Here is a 19,086-nt window from a genome sequence, read left to right as displayed (position 1 = left end):
TATGTGTCTCAGGGTTGCTCTTCTTGAGGACTATCTTTGTGGTGTTCTCTGTATTTCCAGAATTTGAATGCTGGCCCATCTTGCTGAGAGGTGACAGCATGCTGGCAGCCCTCACTCGCTCTCGACACCTCCTCAGCCTCGGCGCCCACTCTGGCCATGCTTGAGGAGCCCTTCAGCCCACGGCTGCACTGTGGGAGCCCCTCTCTGGGCTGGCCGAGGCCAGAGCCGGCTCCCTCTGCTTGTGGGTAGGTGTGGAGGGAGAGGCGCGGGTAGGAACCAGGGCTGCACATGGCACTCGCGGGCCAGCGCAAGTTCCAGGTGGGTGCAGGCTCGGCAGGCCCTGCACTTGGATCGGCCCCGGGCAGTGAGGGGTGTAGTACCTGGGCCAGCAGCTGTGGAGGGTGCACCAGGTCCCCCAGCACTGCCGGCCCGCACCACGCTCAAATTCTCACCAGGCCTCAGCCACCTCCCTGCGGGGCAGGACTTGGGACCTGCAGCCCACCATGCCCGAGCCTCCCCCCACCCACCCCATGGACTCCCGCATGGCCAGAGCCTCCCCAACGGGCACCACCCCCTGCTCCGCGGCACCTGGTCACATCCACTGCCCAAGGGCTGAGGAGTGCGGGTGCATGGTGTGGGACTGGCGGGCAGCTCTGCCCACGGCCCTAGCGTGGGATCCACTAGGTGAAGCCAGCGGGGCTCCTGAGTCAGGTGGGGACTTGGAGGAGTTTTATGTCTAGCTGGAGAATTGTATATGCACCAATCAGCACTCTGTGTCTAGCTTGGGGTTTGTGGATGCACCAATCAGCACTCTGTATCTAGCTAATCTGGTGGGGACTTGGAGAACTTTTATGTCTAGCTAAAGGATTGTAAAAGCACCAATCAGCACTCTGTGTCTAGCTCAAGGTTTGTAAACACATCAATCAGTGCTCTGTGTCTAGCTAATCTAGTGGGGACTTGGAGAACTTTTATGTCTAGCTGAAGGATTGTAAATGCACCAATCAGCACTCTGTGTCTAGCTCAAGGTTTGTAAACACACCAATCAGCACCCTGTGTCTAGCTCAAGGTTTGTAAACGCACAAATCAGTGCTCTGTGTCTAGCTCATCTAGTGGGGACTTTTGTGGTGATTGTAAATGCACCAATCAGTGCTCTGTGTCTAGCTAATCTAGTGGGGACTTGGAGAACTTTTGTGTCTAGCTAAAGGTTTGTAAATGCACCAATCAGCACCCTGTCAAAACGGACCAATCAGCTCTCTGTAAAATGGACCAATCAGCAGGATGTGGGTGGGGCCAGATAAGGGAATAAAAGCAGGCTGCCCCAGTCAGCAGTGGCAACCCACTCAGGTCCCCTTCCACGCTGTGGAAGCTTTGTTATTTCGCTCTTCACAATAAATCTTGCTGCTGCTCACTCTTTGGGTCCACCCTGCCTTTATGAGCTGTAACACTCACTGCGAAGGTCTGCAGCTTCACTCCTAAAGCCAGGGAGACCACGAACCCACCAGGAGGGATGAACAACTCCGGACGGGAGGAACGAACAACTCCAGACGTGCTGCCTTTAAGAGCTGTAACACTCGCCACCAACGTCTGCAGCTTCACTCCTGAAGTCAGCGAGACCACGAACCCACCAGAAGGAAGAAACTCCAGACGCATCTGAACATCTGAAGGCACAAACTCCGGACACACCATCTTTAAAAACTGTAACACTCACCGCGAGGGTCTGCAGCTTCATTCTTGAAGTCAGCGAGACCAAGAACCCACTAATTCTGGACACATTGCTAGGCTGTGGAAGTTCTGCTGGATAATATCCTGAGAGTGTTTTCCAACTTGGTTCCATTCTCCCTGTCACTTTTAGGTACACCAATCAAATGTAGGTTTGGTCTTTTCACATAGTCCCATATTTCTTGGAGGCTTTGTTCATTCCTTTTCATTCTTTTTTCTCTAATCTTGTCTTCACACTTTATTTCATTAAGTTAATCTTCAATGTCTGATATGCTTTCTTCTGCTTGATCAATTCGGCTATTGATATTTGTGTATGATTCACAAAGTTCTTGCTCTGTGTTTTTCAGGTCCATCAGGTCATTTATGTTCTTCTCTAAACTGATTATTCTAGTTGTCAATTCCTCTAACCTTTTTTCAAGGTTCTTAGCTTCCTTGCATTGGGTTAGAACATGCTTTTTTAGCTCGGAGGAGTTTATTATGACCCACCTTCTGAAGCCTACTTCTGTCAATTTGTCAAACTCATTCTCCATCCAGTTTTGTTCTCTTGCTGGGGAGTTGTGATCCTTTGGAGAAGAAAAGGTGTTCTGGTTTTTGGAAGTTTCAGCTTTTTTGCCCTGGCTTTTCCTCATCTTCATGGATTTATCTATTATTGGTCTTTGATGTTGGTGACCTTCAGATGGGGTTTTTGTGTGGATGTCCTTTTTGTTGATGTTGATGCTATTCCTTTCTGTTTGTTTTCTTCTAACAGTCAGGCCCCTGTGCTGCAGGTCTGCTGGAGTTTGCTGGAGGTCCACTCCAGACCCTGTTTGCCTGGGTATCACCAGCAGAGGCTGCAGAACAGCAAATATTGCCGCCTCTTCCTTCTTCTGGAAGCTTCGTTCCAGAGGGGCACCCACCACATGCCAGCCGGAGCTCTCCTGTATGAAGTGTCTATAAATCCCTCCTTGGAGGTGTCTCCCAGTCAGGAGGCATGGTGGTCAGGGACCCACTTGAGGAGGCAGTCTGTCCCTTAGCAGAGCTCGAGCATTGTGCTGGGAGATCCATTGCTCTCTTCAGATCCAGTAGGCAGGAACGTTTAAGTCCGCTGTATCTGCGCCCACAGCCACCCCTTCCCCCAAGTGCTCGGTCCCAGGTACATGGAGTTTTATCTATAAGCCCCTGACTGGGGCTGCTGCCTTTCTTTCAGAGATGCCCTGCTCAGAGAGGAGGAATCTAAAGAGGCAGTCTGGCTACAGCAGCTTTACCGAGCTGGGGTAGGGTCCGCCCAGTTGAAACTTCCCTGCAGCTTTGTTGACACTGTGAGGGGAAAGCCACCTACTCAACCCTCTTAATGGTGGACACCCTTCTGCCCACCAAGCTGGAGCATCCCAGGTCGACTTCAAACTGCTGTGCTGGCAGTGAGAATTTCAAGCCAGTGGATCTTCGCTTGCTGAGCTCCATGGAGGTGGGATCTGCTGAGCTAGACTACTTGGCTCCCTGGCTTCAGCCACCTTTCCAGGGGAGTGAACGGTTCTGTCTCGCTAGCATTCCAGGCGCCACTGGGGTATGAAAAAAAAAACTCCTGCAGCTAGCTTGGTGTCTGCCCAAACGGCTGCCCAGTTTTGTGCTTGAAACCCAGGGCCCTGGTGGCATAGGCACCCGAGGGAATTTCCTGGTCTGCAGATTGCAAAGACCATGTGAAAAGCATAGTATCTGAGCCAGAGTGCACTGTTCCTCACAGCACAGTCCCTCACAGCTTCCATTGGCTAGGGGTGGGAGTTCCCTGACCGCTTGTACTTCCCAGCTGAGGTGACACCCCACCCTCCTTTGGCTTGCCCTCTGTAGCCTGCACCCACTGCCTAACCAGTCTCAGTGAGATGAGCCAGGTACCTCACTTGGAAATGCAGAAATCACCTGCCTTCTGCATTGATCTCGCTGGGAGCTGCAGACCGGAGCTGTTCCTATTTGGCCATCTTGCCAGCCACTCCCTTTAATTGTTTATTATTCATTTGGGTTGAAAATATAATTACTGAAGTTTTCAATAGGAGTTATTCTATAAAGTACGTTGTAATCTTTCAATAGAAATATGCACTAAATGTTTTCTTAACATTTGGATTAATTTTCCTTGGATAGTGATATACCCATTGAAACATTTTTGGTAAACAAATTTAGAAAACAATTTTAAAAGGTAGTAAGATGATTGAAAGCTGTTATTTTCAAAAATTGTAATCAGTTTCTGACTTACTGTGTTTGATGTGGCATATGCCTTTTGGTTTTCTGTTTGTTTTGTTTTCCATAACATGATATGACAGGGTGTTATTCTCACTGTTGATTGCAGGCAAGAGTACAAAAAATTATTAGAAGTTAGCTTGTGAGCATTTAATAAATGGAATTGTTGAACTATAGACAATGTCTGGGGTTCACTAAAAATGTATACCTTAATAAGAATCTTCTTTTGATTTGTTAATGTTTAGATGACAGTCATGAGAATGCAATAAATGCCTTGTGTCTGGAGGTCAGCGGGGTATCTTTCTAGGCCTTTCTTGTTTTTATGGTGTATAAAATAAAGTTATGTGAGCTTGATGAACACTGGAACAAAATTCCAGGGTCTACTTCTCGTTTGTCTTATTTTTAGATTTTTTTTTTCATTATCAGGTTTTGTGACTTCTTATAGAGAATGAGACAAGTGTCAGTCAACCTGTGGGAGAAATCCTGGGCCATGCCTTCTCTATTTTCAGTCCTCTTTCTTACTGTCTTTTAAAATATTTTTAGATTTTTATTTTGAAACAATTATAAATTCACAAGAAGTTTCAAAGATACGTACATGGAGGCCTTTTGTACCCTTCAACCAGTCTCTCCCAATAGTAAAATCTTCAATACACTACCACATTACACTATCAAAACTAGAACATTGACAGTGATGCAATCCAGAGCTTTTTAAGATTCAACACTTTTCTTTTGACTATTCTAGGCACTTTATATTTCCATAGGAATATTATAATTATCTTGTCAATTTCTATTAAAAAGGCTTTTTAGAATTTTGATTAGAATTTAGTTGAATCCACAGATGAAATTGGAAATAACTGCCATTTTACAATATTGAATCTTCCAACCGAAAATCAAAGTATAGATCTCAATTTTTTTCTTATGTCATTAATTTATCATTGTAAATTTTTGTAGTTTTAAGTGTACAAGTCATTTACATCTTTGGTCAGATTTATCCCTAAGCCTTTAATATTTTTAGTGATATTTTAAATTGCACTGTTCTTAGTTTCAACTTTCAGTTGTTGAAATTAACTTCCAGTCCACCCTAGGACTACCATTGGCTAAAACATTGTCTCTTCTAATATAGAAACTTCTCATATGTAACTGCTAATATATAAACATACAATTGATTTGTGTGTTGATCTCTTACTTTGCAATTTTGCTAACCTCAATTAATGTAGAACCATTTTTTTAGATTGACTTTTCTACATATACTCTCAGGTAGTCTTTGACAAAAGATACTTTTACTTCTCCCTTTCCAATCTGAATGCATTTTTTTTTCTTTTACACTGGACACAATCTCCAGTACAAAGTATAACTGTGCCCATACTGGTGCACATGTGGGTCTTAGATTGTAGCATCCTGCAGGTAAATACTCAGAACAACTTCCAGCACTTGAATATCCACTCCTTCCCCCACCCACATACTGGCAGAATTCATGTTGGGATACTACATTTACTATGAACATAGACCCCTGATTTGAAACAAGACTAGGATACATGGTAAAGAAAGTTTATTCACCAAAGTTTTGACAGACTGAAGGCCATTATTTCAGATTGGAGATAGGAAACTTAAAAGAACTACATGGACATTGGGTAAAAGAACATGGGTTGAAATTTGCCTGGCAGTAGCCTAAAAGTAAATGGTCTTCAAGGTGCATGTGAAGGAACTGTAGGAGGGAAATGGGATAATTCACATCTCCACCAATAATTAAATGTAGCCACACTAGCTTGGAGGGATTTGAGGTGAGACATCTAAAATACTAAGTCATGGTGAGGGCTGGAAGACAAAAGAATGAATGACTTCATAGGAATGACTGTGGGGAAGGGCTTGAAGGAATCATCCTCTCACTTCCATGTGAACCATGAACATTAAACATGGAGAAATGAGCAGCAGCAGATTAGTTTGGGATGCATCTTCAGGGGATGCTGAAACAACAACAGCATTTGGTTTCCTCTACACCCCTGTCATCCGTCCCCCACAAGCCCAGGGAGTGGTCAGCAGTGGTGCTTTGTGATGTCTAAGCCACCCTAGGACTGCCATTGGCTGGGACACTGCCTGTATGATCAAACAAAGCTCAAGAGTGTGGCTTTGCCTTGCCACCAGGAAGGTATACATAGGGAGGGCCAGAGCTCTGGGACATCCTCCTGGCAAGCTTCAATATAGCTGTGGAAGTCTGCAGTCTACAAGAGCCTACTATAGACATTCTACAACCAAGCAGAATCATGGAACAGCCGACTTCAAGCACCAATGGGGAGAAGAGGAAGAGCCCCTGTGAATCCAATAACAAAAAAAATGATGAGGTAAGATTGTTAGGTTTTGAAGGGAAGGTGAGGGTGAAAGAAAGACACACAGAGAAGGGACGGCTCAAACAGCAACACAGGAATACTGCAGACACCTGTGGAAGTGGGGGACCCGCTTAATGCCAGAACCCACCGCCGCTTACAGGCTGGGGTGCTTATAGGTATGGGTGGGAGGGGCCGGGGCAGTATGGCTTGCTGCCCGGCAGGATATTGATAAGATGTTTTTATGATCAGGCTGTTTGGTCCTTTTTCCAGTGGGATGTCATTGTGGTGTTTCTTGGAACTTTGCCCAGCAAGATACCATAGGAAAGTTTCTTTAGTTGGACCTGTGTCCGCCTTGTGTTACGACGATTAGGCAAGATTTTTCTCATGGCCCGAACCCCCGTGGAATGTTTCACTTTGATCAAGGTCTGCAAAATAGCAGGGTGCTTACTAAATGGTGGTTTGGACTCACATTCTTGCCTTCTACTTTAGTATAAAAGGAAGAGGGGCATTGTTGATTATCTGGCTGCTTGCTGCCGAATAGGGGAGCTGTAATCAGGGTTTGGGTTTTGAAGCAGGGGGTGACGGACTTCAGAGTTGTTTTCCTGGAGGCACTGGTACCGGACTTGGCAGAGGAGAAGGATGGTATCAATGTGTTGCTGGGTGGCTGCCTGGAGAGGGGAGTTTAGCCTTCGGGAGATAAAGCAGGATATGAAGGTGAGTATACATCGGCCAAATGTACTATCAGGAGGAGGAAGATTAACGGCCCTAAGAAAGGGACCACCTGCTATCCCAGTGCTGAGTGCATCAGAGATGTTTAGTTCTGCTAACACTAGAATGAGATGTACAGCCTGCTTAGTGTGTGTGGAGGAAGATGAGACAGAAGCTACTAAAGGAACCTGGATGGTCTGCTTGTTAGGCAAAGTGTTAATGTTTAGATTGAAACACAAGGGTGCATGTTCCTGACCAATTGGCCAGTAGGCAGAGATAAGAGTTTGTGCCGCAAAGGAAGAAGACACTAGGGGTGGACAGACAAAAGTTGTAGGTTATGGTGGCAAGTCATGAGAAGGTGGGGGTTGAATTCTGCACAAACCCTTTGTTTTAACTTTTATGTTTTTCCAAGTTGAATACCTGCCAGCAAGGGTAGCCCCTCTGAAGGCCTGATAGGAAATGTTGGTAGTGGAGGAGGTGAAGGCTGTTTGGTTTTGGAGAGAGAGCAGGAAATGGGTTTTTGTAACTAATAGCCATTGCGGTCCTGACAGCGCAGAAGGATACAGGTTGCAGTTGAGGGAATTGTTTGTGGATATTTTCCAGGGAGCGCCCTTGACTTGGATACATGGAGAGCGGCTCCGGCAGAAAGGGGAGGGGTTGATAAGAGGTATTTTCTGGAATCCGACTGGTAACATGTTTAGTTAAGAGGCTATGAGGTGAAGGAGGGTGACAGCCCTGTGTGTGACGGTGTGGGTGGATTTGATGGATTGGTGGGGGGGGAAAGGTGATTAGCCGAGCAAGATTATAAGCAGGTTTTGCGAATGAATTGGTCAATTAGGTGAAATGCAGGTTTATTTTGGACAGGGTTCATGTGGCCAGGTTAACAGGAAGGGCTGTGAACTACTGGATTTGTGTGGACAAACAAATTTAACAGTTGGAAGGAAGAGGGGAGTGTGACTGATTTAAGAGGCAGTGAGGCTGATGAAGGGGGCTCATCTGTTAGACGTTCGGGGTGGGGACTTAGAATATCCCACAGATAGAGAGGACAAAAGGAGAAAGAGGAGATTTGAGTAGGAGTGAAATTTTGGAAGGTGCCCTGAAGTCATATCTCCTTGATTAGTGTGACAAATTGGCCTGGACTATTCAGGGTCATGGGGAAGGGAAACCAGGAAAGATCTGAAATAAAGTAGGAGACAAAAGATTGGAAACTGGAGACAGAGAGTGTTATGGACTAAGGTGTTCTGGATTGGCAACTTCTGGAATTCTTGTTAAGTACAGTGAGGTTGGTCTTGTCAGGGAAGGAGAATAATTTGGGGGTGAACAAATTTCTAGATGTGGATCTGGTGCTCTTTTTAGTTTGAAATGTGCATTCAGTGTGCAAAGGATGTTAGCTTTGGCGCTGTGGGAGTAGTTAGCATCACCTGGTGAGAATTCCTCCACTTAGGTTGGAGAGCGGGGGAGGAGGAGTCTGTGATTCAGACCCAGCCCGCTGGTTGTAGGGACAGGGAGGAGTGTTTTGAGGATGGACTTTTAGGCTGGGTCAAGTAAGCATTTGCGTACTGTCTTATTAGATGTTGGGTGAGGTGTAACGCCGGCCAAGTATTCCATATAGAATGGGGGGAAAATACAGGGAGATTCTGGAGGATAAATGGAGCATTTGTACATGAATTTAAATGGGCTTAGGCTGAGCGCTTTTAGGAAATGACTCATAATCGCATGAGGAACAATGGGAGAAGTGAAGTCCAGGCCATTTTAACCTTTAAGGAGAGTTTGGTTAGTTGTTGTTTTTTATAAAATTTTTCCTGAAGATTCGGAGTGGTAAGGAATATGGAAAGCCCATTTAATGTTTAGAGCCTTTACCAGCTGTTGGTTAAACTGAAACAAATTGGCCCATTGTCTGACTGGATGCAAGAGGGGAGTTTAAACCGGTGGATAATATGGGTGGAGAGAATAGAAGCGATGGTGTGTGCCTTTTTGGTGGTGGTAGGAAAAGCTTTTATTCATCCAGAGAATGTATCTACTATTGTTAGAATGTATAGGAATCACTTTCTGGGGAGCATGTGAGTGATGTTGATTTGCTAGTCCTGCCCTAGTAAGTGTCCTCAGGTCTGGTGTGTGGGAAAGGAGATGGTTTGATAGCTTCCTGAGGGGAAGTTTGAGTGCAAAGGGAACATGCCTTAGTAATATCTCTGAGATGGGCAACCATGGTGGAAGAATGTCTAGAAGTTTTTAAAAGCTGGAGTAGGGGCAGTAACCGGCATGGAAATGGTTGTGCACATATGAAAGTACAGAAGGTTTTTTAAACTTGGGCAAGACACTTTATCAGTGAGATCGAACTATTTTTTCCTGAATGGCACCAGCCTGGGCAAGTGGGTTTTTTTCCTGCTGGGTATATACAGGGTGTATGCTGGGAAAAAAAATGAGCAATAACGATGGGGTTTTAAGGGCTGCCTGCCAGGCTGCCGAATTTGTTGAAAGGTTTTTCTCGGTTTTGGCATCTGTAGCCTTTCGGTGTCCCTTGCAATGGATAATGGTGGCCTTTGGTGGTGGTTTATCCACCCCCAACAGCTTATGTGTAAGTTTGCCATTTCTTATGGGGGTTCCTTTTGTAGTTAGGAAACCCTGTTCCTGCCAGATGAAGGCATGAGACTGTAGGACATGGTATGCATATTTGGAATGGGTGTAAATGTTGACCCTCTTTCCCTTTGCTAGGGTGAGGGCCCTGGTTAGGGCAACTAGCTTTGCCTGTTGAGAGGTAGCATGGGGTGTGAGAGCATTCGATTCTAGGAGTTTATCTTCAGCACTGATGGAATAGCCAGCTGCTGGACATGGCTGCCTAAAAGAGGTTCCATTAACTAACCGTGTATGTGTTCCCTGCAAAGGGGCATCTGAAATGTGTTGGAAGGGGGAGGAGAGGGAGTCTAAGAGGTCCAGACAGGAGTGAGAGAGCTTAGAGTCGGAAGTGTTTACAGGGAGAAGGGTGGCTGGGTAGAGAATTTTATGTCTCTGGAAGGTGATTAGAGGGTTACCTATGAATAAGGCATGCACCTGCTGTAAGCAGGATGGTGGGAGGGATAGAAGGGATTGGTGGTTTATGAGGTCCTGTAGATAATGGGAAGATGCAATAGTAATGTGTTGGTAGAGAGGGAGTTTCCGTGCATCTAAGGCCAGCAATGTGGCCATACCCAAGATTTTTAGTCAGAGTGACCAGCCTCGGATGACAGAGTCCAGTTGTTTTGAGAGGCGTGCAATGGCTTCTGGGGCGTTGCCATATGTTTGGCAGAGTAGTCCAAGGGCAAGGCGCTGGTCAGAATGTACATAGAAAGTAACAGGCTTGGTGAGGTTTGGCAGTCCCAGTGCCAGGGCCATTAAAAGGGCATTTTTAAGTTTTTAAGTTGGAGTTGATGGGGCAAGCTGGGTTCAGGGGTTTTAGGATGGGCCCATGTGAGGCTACGTATAGTGGCTTGGCCAGCAAGTCAAAGTTAGGAATTCACAGCCAGAAGTATCCCACAAGGCCCAAGAAGGAGGGGAGGTCCTTTTTTTTTATGTGGGGAAGGGGCATGTCCCAAATTGGCTCCTTTCATTGGGTTGGGATGGCTCGAGAATTAGGGGTTAGAACAAACCCAAGGTAAGTAACTTTGATTTGGGTACCTGAGATTTTGTGGGTTAGGCCCAATATACTTGATTATGAAGGAAGTTTAAAACCTGAGTGGTGTGTTGAATGGACAGGTTAAGAAAGGGGCTACAGAGAAGGAGGTCATTGACATACTGGAGGAGGGTACTAGGAGCAAGGGGAAGTTCAGCTAGGTCCTTGATGAGGGCCTGTCTGAACAGGTGGGGCCTATCCCGGAACCCCTCTAAGAGTACAGTCTAGGTGTAAGTCCATGTGTAAGTCCTGTAAGAGTACAGGACATGTGAGTATTAGGATTTGACCAAGTCAAAGCAAAAAGACTTTGGTAAGCCAGATTTAAGGGAATAGTGAAATAGTTGTCTTTTAGTTCAATACAAAGGAGTGTGTGGTAGATGGGGCAATACGGTAGAGTAGAGTATATTGGTTGAGGACCACTAGATGGATTGGTACCACGGCCTGGTTAACGACTTGGAGATCCTAGACAAAGGGGTAAGTCCCGTCTGTCTTTTGGAAAGCCAGAATAGGGGTGTTGTGGGGAGAGTTAACAGGCTTGAGAATATGAGCTTGTAAAAGTTTACAGATAATAGGTTTGAGACCCCCTAAGCAAGGCTGGATTAAGGGGATATTGAGACTGATGAAGGAAAATGGAGGGGTTTTGAAGGGTTATTTTAACTGGGATGTGATGTGTGGCTATTGTGGGTTTAGAAACATTCCAAGCTTTAGAATTAACAGAAGGTAACAGGGTGGATAATGAGGATGAGTGGGGGGAGAGGGAAGCGTTTGGGTGTCAGAGTAAAATAAAAGGGGTAGAATTGTAGGAGCCACATTGCATGGAGTTCTGGAATTTACTTAATATGTCCCATCCCAAGATAGGGGTAGGGGACTGAGGGATAACCAGGAAAGAGTGGGTGAAGGGGGCTGCTGAATAGGTTGTATAATAAAGGACCAGTCTGTGCCTAGAGGGGATTTTATTGATTCTCACAATAGAGATCGAAGAACAGAAAAAGGGTCTAGAATATTCTGGTCAAACTGAGTAACTAGTTGTCCTATTGAGTATCCAATAGGAAAGACATGGGCTTACTAGAGACTGACAGAATTACCCTGGGTTCCGAGGTGGTGATGGCAGTAGGGGCGGTGGACTCCAGGCCCCACCTGTCTTCAGGTACAGGTGGTGAAGCAGGATGAAGAGTTTCAGTGAGCACAGTCTGACTTCCAGTGTTGCTTGATACCACAGATGGGGCAAGATTTCCAGAGTGTCCTGGGATTAGGCTAGGCTTTTGCCCAGTGTCCCTGTTAGACGAACTTGTAACAGGCTCCTGGAGTTGACTGTTGCCAAGTTGAGGAATTCTGTAGGCCTTGGGAACCCTGTTGAGTGGCAGCTACCAGCATTTGGTATTTAGCCTGGTCCTTCTTTAGGTTTGGATTTTTTAGTTCTTCCTCTCTAATCTTATAGATCTTGAAGGCCACTTTGATTAAGTCTCTTTGGAAGGTTTGAGGGCCACCCTCCAGTTTTTTAAGTTTTTTTCAAATGTCTGGGTCTGACTGGGAGATAAAGTATAAATGGAGGTAGTTTTTGCCCTTATTGGTATTAGGGCTTAAGGTGGCATATTTAGTTGTGACTTTTGAAAGGCAGGAGAGGAAACGAGCAGGGACAGCTTTATTTATGCCAGCTAGAAGGCATGATATCATATGGCCTGATTTCTGTCTGTCTACTGAAGTTGCCTGATAATTCCAACTGGGGCCAGTTCTGGGGACAGCTAGGGTCCCTATTGGATTATGAGCAGCATCTTGTTGGTGGAGGGTGTTCTCATGGACCTGGGCACCCATAAAGATGTGTTCCCTGTCCTCCAGGGTGAGGGTAGAGGAGAGGATGACATATATGTCATGCCAGGTAAGGTCATAAGATTTAGGGAAGTACAAGAATTCCTTGTGGAAGGAGGTTGGATCCATTGAAAAGGAGTCAAGTCTCCTTTCAATATGGGAAAACTCAGCTAGAGAGAAGGGAACTTGAATTCAGATTATGCCTTTAGCCCTCGCAACCTCCTGCAAGGGAAGGACTTTGGAAGGCCTTTGGGCATGTGCCTGGTTCCTAGCGAAAGGGGGTTGGGTGTGAGACCTGGTTTGAGGTGGAGAAGGAAGGGGGATGGAGGGCGACAGTAAGGGGGTGGAGGAGCCGGATCCGAAGGAGAAGGTGGAGGGAATGGGAGAGGGCAGGAGGCTGAAGAACGGGTGTGTTGGCCAGGTTGAAATTCAGAGGAAGAAGACTTGTCCGGAGGAAGAGGCATTTTGGGGGGTTTCTCCTTGAGGAGGAAGATTTGAAAAGGTGAACAAGATTGGCAGAGAGAGAGAGAGAGAGAGAGAGAGAGAGAGAGAGTGAGGCATGAAAGGAGATAAGCAAAGCACTTCAGATTATTTACCATTGCATTGAAGAAAGTTTTTTAGATTATGTTGAATTTGGAAGTTGAATGTTTTGTTTTTTGGAAGAGGGGAGTGAATACTCTGGATGGGAGTGACTACCCCTGAGGAAAGTGAGTACCCTGGAAGGGAGTGAGTACCCCAGGGGTGAGCGAGTACTCCAGAGAGAAGTGAATACCCCATAGGGAAGTGAGTACTTGATTCCTCCTGGGAGAAGGGACCTGGAGAGTTGGGGCAGCCCCGTACTATTCATGCTCCCCAGAGGCCAGAGCAGCCAGAGTGGCAAACGTTTTGAAGGTGTACCCTAAGAAGGGAGGCTGCAGTCACCTGGTGACTGGGGAGACCTCTCACCCAGCACTGGAATTTTTTGGAGAACGGGCAGAAATAGAGAGGAATCTGGAAAGGAGGAAGAGGGAGACTCACCCACTAATTGAAGCCCAGTGTTGGATGTGATGTCCAGAAATGGGGGTGATCCTTGTTGCAGCTGCCCGGAAACAGGAAGGAACAAAAAATAAGGTGGCTTGTTTGATCACTATCTGGAGGTTAGCCCAGGTCTGGAGAAGACTAGAGAATAAGGAGAATGGGACTGGGAACAGGGAGTACACTCAGGATCTGGAAGCAGGCCCTGGTCTAGTTTGTGCTGCTTGCTGCTTTCCAGGTTGCAAGAGAAAACTTACCCATTAGAACCCAATCACCACTCCAGGTTTTGGCACCAAAATGTTAGGTTTTGAAGGGAAGGCAAGGATGAAAGAAAGACACACAGGGGGCAGCTCAAACAGCAACACAGGAATATGGCAGACACCTATGGAAGTGGAGGACAAGCTTAATGCCAGAGCCCACCGCCGCTTACAGGCTGGGGTACTTACAGGGATGGGCAGGAGGGATCTGGGCAATGTGGGATGCTATCCGGCAGGATATTGATAAGATGTTCTTATGATCAGGTGGTTTGGCCCTTTTTCCAGTGGAATATCATTGTGGCGTTCCTTAGAACTTTGCCAAGCAAGATATGATAGGAATGTTTCTTTAGTTGGGCCTTTGTCCGCCCTGTGGTCAGGTGGTTAGGCAGGATGTTTCTCACGGCCTGAGCCCCCATGGAGTGTCTCACTTTGACCAAGGTCTGCAAAATAGCAAAGAACTTGCGAAATCGTGCAGTTTGGACTAACAGATGACCCTACCCATGCTCCTCTTCTTCTTCCCCATAGATCACTACCCTATGATTCCACCTTGTTCTTCTCTGGCACAAACCCCTTCCTCAACCTGCATTCCTTCTCATAAAGCCCCCCTTGCTATCCAGTCTCTACCCTATTCACCCAAAATAATGACTTTCTGGCCTCTCCCTGTTTTCTTATCAGATGCAGGAGGCACCGAACAGGGTCTTAGCCCCCAAACAGAGCTTGCAAAAGACAAAAACAATAGAATATCTAACAATAATAGTGTATTACTACAGGAAGCATACGAAAATAAATTCAAATCAACTGGAGAAGGACCAGTCCCGAGAGAACTCCATCAATCCAGTCCAAGAGGAGGAGGACGAAGGCCTAGACTCAGCTGAAGGATCTTCACAGGAGGACGAAGACCTGGACTCATCTGAAGGATCTTCACAGGAGGACGAAGACCTGGACTCATCTGAAGGATCTTCACAGGAGGACGAAGACCTGGACTCATCTGAAGGATCTTCACAGGAGGACGAAGACCTGGACTCATCTGAAGGATCTTCACAGGAGGACGAAGACCTGGACCCACCTGAAGGATCTTCACAGGAGGACGAAGACCTAGACTCATCTGAAGGATCTTCACAGGAGGGTGGGGAGGACTAGTCAAACATGGAGAAACCAAATTGGACAAATCCTCACTACCAATGGCGATGATTACAATAAAATCAAGTTTGAGGAGCTGATGACCGTGTATATCTCTGCCTGTTGTCTGATGGTGGGAAGGAAGGGAAGGGAAGAGGTAGGCATTTGAGAAGGGAAGGATATGAGATCCTGTAGGGTTGGCGGACAGACCCACAGGTTGACAGTTTCCCAGACATTGTAAATAAGGCCTGGGGGAGGACTTATTCCTAGAGACAAATTTTCTTCTTAAAATTTTATCTAACAGGAGAGGAAGAAAAGGACTTGGTGTTTGGAGCATGTGAATATGTAGAAGGGCATTTAAAAAGATCTGTATTGGCCGGGCACGGTGGCTCATGCCTATAATCCCAGCACTTTGGGAGGCCGAAGCAGACGATCTCCTGAGGTCAGGAGTTCGAGACCAGCCTGTCCAACATGGCAAACCCCAGTCTCTACTAAAAAAAAAAAATACAAAAATTAGCTGGGAGTGGTGGCAGGTGCCTGTAATCCCAGCTACATGCGAGGCTGAGGCAGGAGAATCACTTGAACACAGGAGGCGGAAGTTGTAGTGAGCTGAGATCTGGCCACTGCACTCCAGTCTGGGGGATAGAGCGAGACTCTGTCTTCAAAAATAAATAAATAAAATAAAATACAAAGATCTGTATTGTATGTAGGTGACAGTGACACTCTTTCCAAAATGAAGACATCAAAATCACCACCTCCAGGCCACATACCTCATAGTGATTTGGGTTGCAACTCAACCAATACTGTAAGCAACTGAAGCCCCTCAAATGGACAAAAAACCTCACCCTACATAGAGTAAGACAGCATGTCACACACACCAAAATAATGGTGTTTGGAGGCCATGGTCCCAATACTAGGGCATTTCCTTGTTAAGAAACTAGTGGCCATTGTCTACTGCAGGCAATAAATGAAAGCATAGTCTACAGAGAATTTGAATATAATGATACAAGTAAAAGTTGGTATTTTTATTACCACTTCCATACACCAGCATTTCTATAGAATGTCAATGATTAAGAATTCTTCCCTTGAAAAAAATATTGCTTTTATTGAAGGGAATACAATAGAGTGGTTTGGCATCAATGTAGAGGGCTGAGTTATATATTCTTTGAGTTAATTGCTCAAGACCCTCTCCTATTTATTTACTCATTCACTCTCCTTTATTTCCATGACCCAGTTTTATTTCTCTTGTCTACATTGGCAATCATTGTAATGCGTTTGATGTGTATTCTTTTCTCTGTATGAGTGTTATTACATGTTTTTTATTGTTTGTGGACATTTGTTTTCAATTTATGTAGCCATTGTCAATATTTAATGTTTCACTCAGACCTGTTTTTAAGATGCATCTATTTATATATAATCTGTTCTTCCCTTGTAAATGGATATATCGGGTACATTTTTGTATTTTGTAACTTTTAGAAAGATATTTTGATATTTAATATCTGTACCCACCTTCTGGTCCATGTTTTGTTTAATTTATACCTAGTATTATATTTTCTTTCAAGTGACTGTAAATAGTATCATGTGTTTAATTTTGATTTCCACATGTTCAATGTTAGTATATAGAAGTGTGATGGATTTTTTATTTCTATTTTAAAGAAATTTTATTGTGTATATTTGAGGTTTACAACATGATATTATGGGATACATAAAGTAAAATGGTTACTATGGTGAAGCAGATTAGCATACCTCTCTTCTTAGTTTTTAAGTGTGTGACAATAGCAGCTAAAATCTACTTATTTAACAAAAATTCATGATGCAATTTCATCAGCTTTAGTCCCCCTGTACATTAGATCTCTATACTTGTTCATCCGTATTGTGGCAAATGCCAAGATCTCTTTTCTTTAAGTCTGAATAATATTTAGTTCTGTACAACTATAAATAACTACACACACACACACACACACACACACACACACACACACACACACCACATTTTAAAATCCATTCATCCATTGATGGGCATTTAAGTTGTTTCCATATCTTGGCTATTGTGAATAATGCTGTAATGAACGTGAGAGTGCATGTATCTACATGAGGCCGTGATTTCATCTCCTTTGGGTATCTACCCAGAAGAAGGATTGCTGGGTCATATGGTAGTTACGTTTTAATTTCTTTAGAAACCTCCACACTGTTTCACATAATGGTTATACCAATCTACATTTCCACCAAGAGTGTACTAGGTTTGTTTTTTCTTCACACTCTCATCAAAATTTGTTATGCATTGTTTAATTGATAATAGCCATCTTAACAAGTGTGAAGTGATATTCTGGTTTTAGTAGGCATTTCTCTTTTGATTAATGATGTTGAACATCTTTTAGTGTTATCTGTTAGCATGCCACTGTAAGAAATAATATGAAGAGATACCATACTGTATCTTTTACTCAATTTCCTCCAATTATAAGATCTTGCAAAAGTATAGTACGTCACAACCAGAAAACTGGCATTAGTATAGTCCATCTGTTCAGATCACCAATTTTACATGTGCTCATTTGTGTGTGTGTGTGTGTGTGTGTGTGTGTGTGTGTGTTTAGTTATATTCAGTTTTATCATATGCCTACATTTAAGGGACAACCACCATAATAATACAGAAGAGTTTCATCAACACAAGGATCTCTCATTTTTCCTGTAATAGCCACACCCAACTTTCCTCTCAAGTTCATAATCCCTAGTGACCACTATTCTCAGCCTATACAATTTTGTTATTTTGAGAATCTTATAGAAATGGAATGATTTGAACTTGAGAAATATGATTTAGGATATCTGGTAGGGGAAATTTCTAAAGATTTCTGAAGATTATGCATATTCAGTTATATGCATTCACAAAGAGATGGTTTGCTACTGGAACATACATTTGAAAGGGAAGCAGAGCATAAAAGTTTGAAAAATTAGCAGCCCGATGATGTGATAAAAGAGAAAACATCATTTTCTGGGGAGGAATTTAGCACACTACAGAAATTTGCATAAGTAATGAGGAGCCAAATGTTAATCACCAAGATAATGGGCAAAATGTCTTCAGGGCATGTCAGAGATCTTGGCTGCCGTCCCTCCCATAACAGGCCAGGAAGCCTAGGAGAAAAAATGGTTTCTCTGGGCCCAGGGCCCCCGCTGCTCTCTGCAGCCTCTGGACATGGCACCCTGCATTCCAGCTGCTTCAGCGCCAGTCGTGGCTAAAAGGGTGGCTTCCATATGTTGTTGGGCCTGCAGTGAACAAAAGTCAAGAATTGAGGTTTGGGAACCTCCGCCTAGATTTTAGAGGATGTATGAAAATGCCCGGATGTCCAGCCAGAAGTCGGCTGCCTTCTTTATAAAATTACAAAATTTCTGAGGCCTTGCCAGCCATGCAGAACTGTGTGTCAATAAAACCTCCTTTGTTTATAAATTACACAGGCTCAGGTAGTATCTTTATAGCCGTGTGAAAACACACTAATACAAATACTTAACTGGGAACCTAGTTCAGGTGAGTTGGGATATAGTGAGAAAACATAAAACTACTCAAAGCATAAAATAACTAGAATTAGATCTTTTTCCTGGATGTATAGCTCTATTTTTATCATTTGGATTACCCTTTGGCCATCTCACTTTACTGTAGTATGCTATGCATTCCTAGCAAGAGATCATGTATAGCTACTTACAAAAGAGATAACTTAAGCATACATATCCATGATTAAAATTGTAACTAAATTCATTATGAAATACATGAGAGGGAATCTAAATATTGCTATTGCTGGATTAAACAGGCAATGCATATTCTTAATAAACGTAACTGTGTTCTTTGATCTGTATCTTAGAGTCTGTAAAATATATTAATACTTCTACCTTAAAAATAATGCATTGTTTTGTGTAGTCATATAGCACTGGATGAGTGTCAACTGCGAACACACTTTCAGAAATACCAAAATCTCTCACCTGGCTTTCTAGAATATTCATAATCACCCTCCATTTTCTTTCTTGATCTTTCTACCAGGTTCTTTCCATTGCTCCCGTAAAGTAAAAAGTTTTAAAGACTTTCATGGAGTACAGACTTCTCCTATGCTCCATTTCTTTGACCTCCAGCTCACCCCAACACAGCTTACAGAAACATTATAAGAGGGAGAAGAAGCATAGTACATTGCAGTTAATGGCATGCACTTTGGAACCACTGTCTAGTTTGTGATTTGGGGCAAGTAATATAGCCCTGTATATGCTTCACTTTCCCCACCTCATAGAGTTATCAGGATAATTAAAT

At 44.3% G+C, this 19,086-nt stretch overlaps 1 protein-coding gene across 1 annotated transcript, besides 1 other annotated feature; it reads left to right on the top strand.

Moving 5' to 3' along the window:
- Positions 276-777: an enhancer, noted in NCBI's record as "H3K4me1 hESC enhancer chrX:142809175-142809676 (GRCh37/hg19 assembly coordinates)". NCBI's record gives its function as "activates a minimal SCP1, AML or CMV promoter by ChIP-STARR-seq in primed H9 embryonic stem cells {active_cell/tissue: H9 hESC(primed)}" and the evidence as "EXISTENCE:reporter gene assay evidence [ECO:0000049][PMID:30033119]".
- On the top strand, positions 6,105-14,902 carry SPANXN2 (SPANX family member N2). Its single transcript, NM_001009615.3, has 2 exons — positions 6,105-6,266; positions 14,358-14,902. Exons 1-2 carry the CDS (start codon positions 6,189-6,191, stop codon positions 14,820-14,822), a joined length of 543 nt encoding a protein of 180 aa, NP_001009615.1. The 5' UTR covers positions 6,105-6,188; the 3' UTR covers positions 14,823-14,902.
- The last annotated feature ends 4,184 nt before the right edge of the window (positions 14,903-19,086 follow it).

Source organism: Homo sapiens, chromosome X (assembly GCF_000001405.40).
Source record: "Homo sapiens chromosome X, GRCh38.p14 Primary Assembly".
Lineage (NCBI taxonomy): Eukaryota > Metazoa > Chordata > Mammalia > Primates > Hominidae > Homo > Homo sapiens.
This window is presented reverse-complemented; position numbering and strand designations above follow the sequence as displayed.

Excerpts from the sequence above, each read along its gene's own strand:
- SPANXN2 (NM_001009615.3), top strand. The coding sequence starts at position 6,189 with ATGGAACAGCCGACTTCAAGCACCAATGGGGAGAAGAGGAAGAGCCCC. Across the intron at positions 6,267-14,357 it reads ATAACAAAAAAAATGATGAG|ATGCAGGAGGCACCGAACAG; the intron begins GTAAGATTGTTA and ends TTTTCTTATCAG.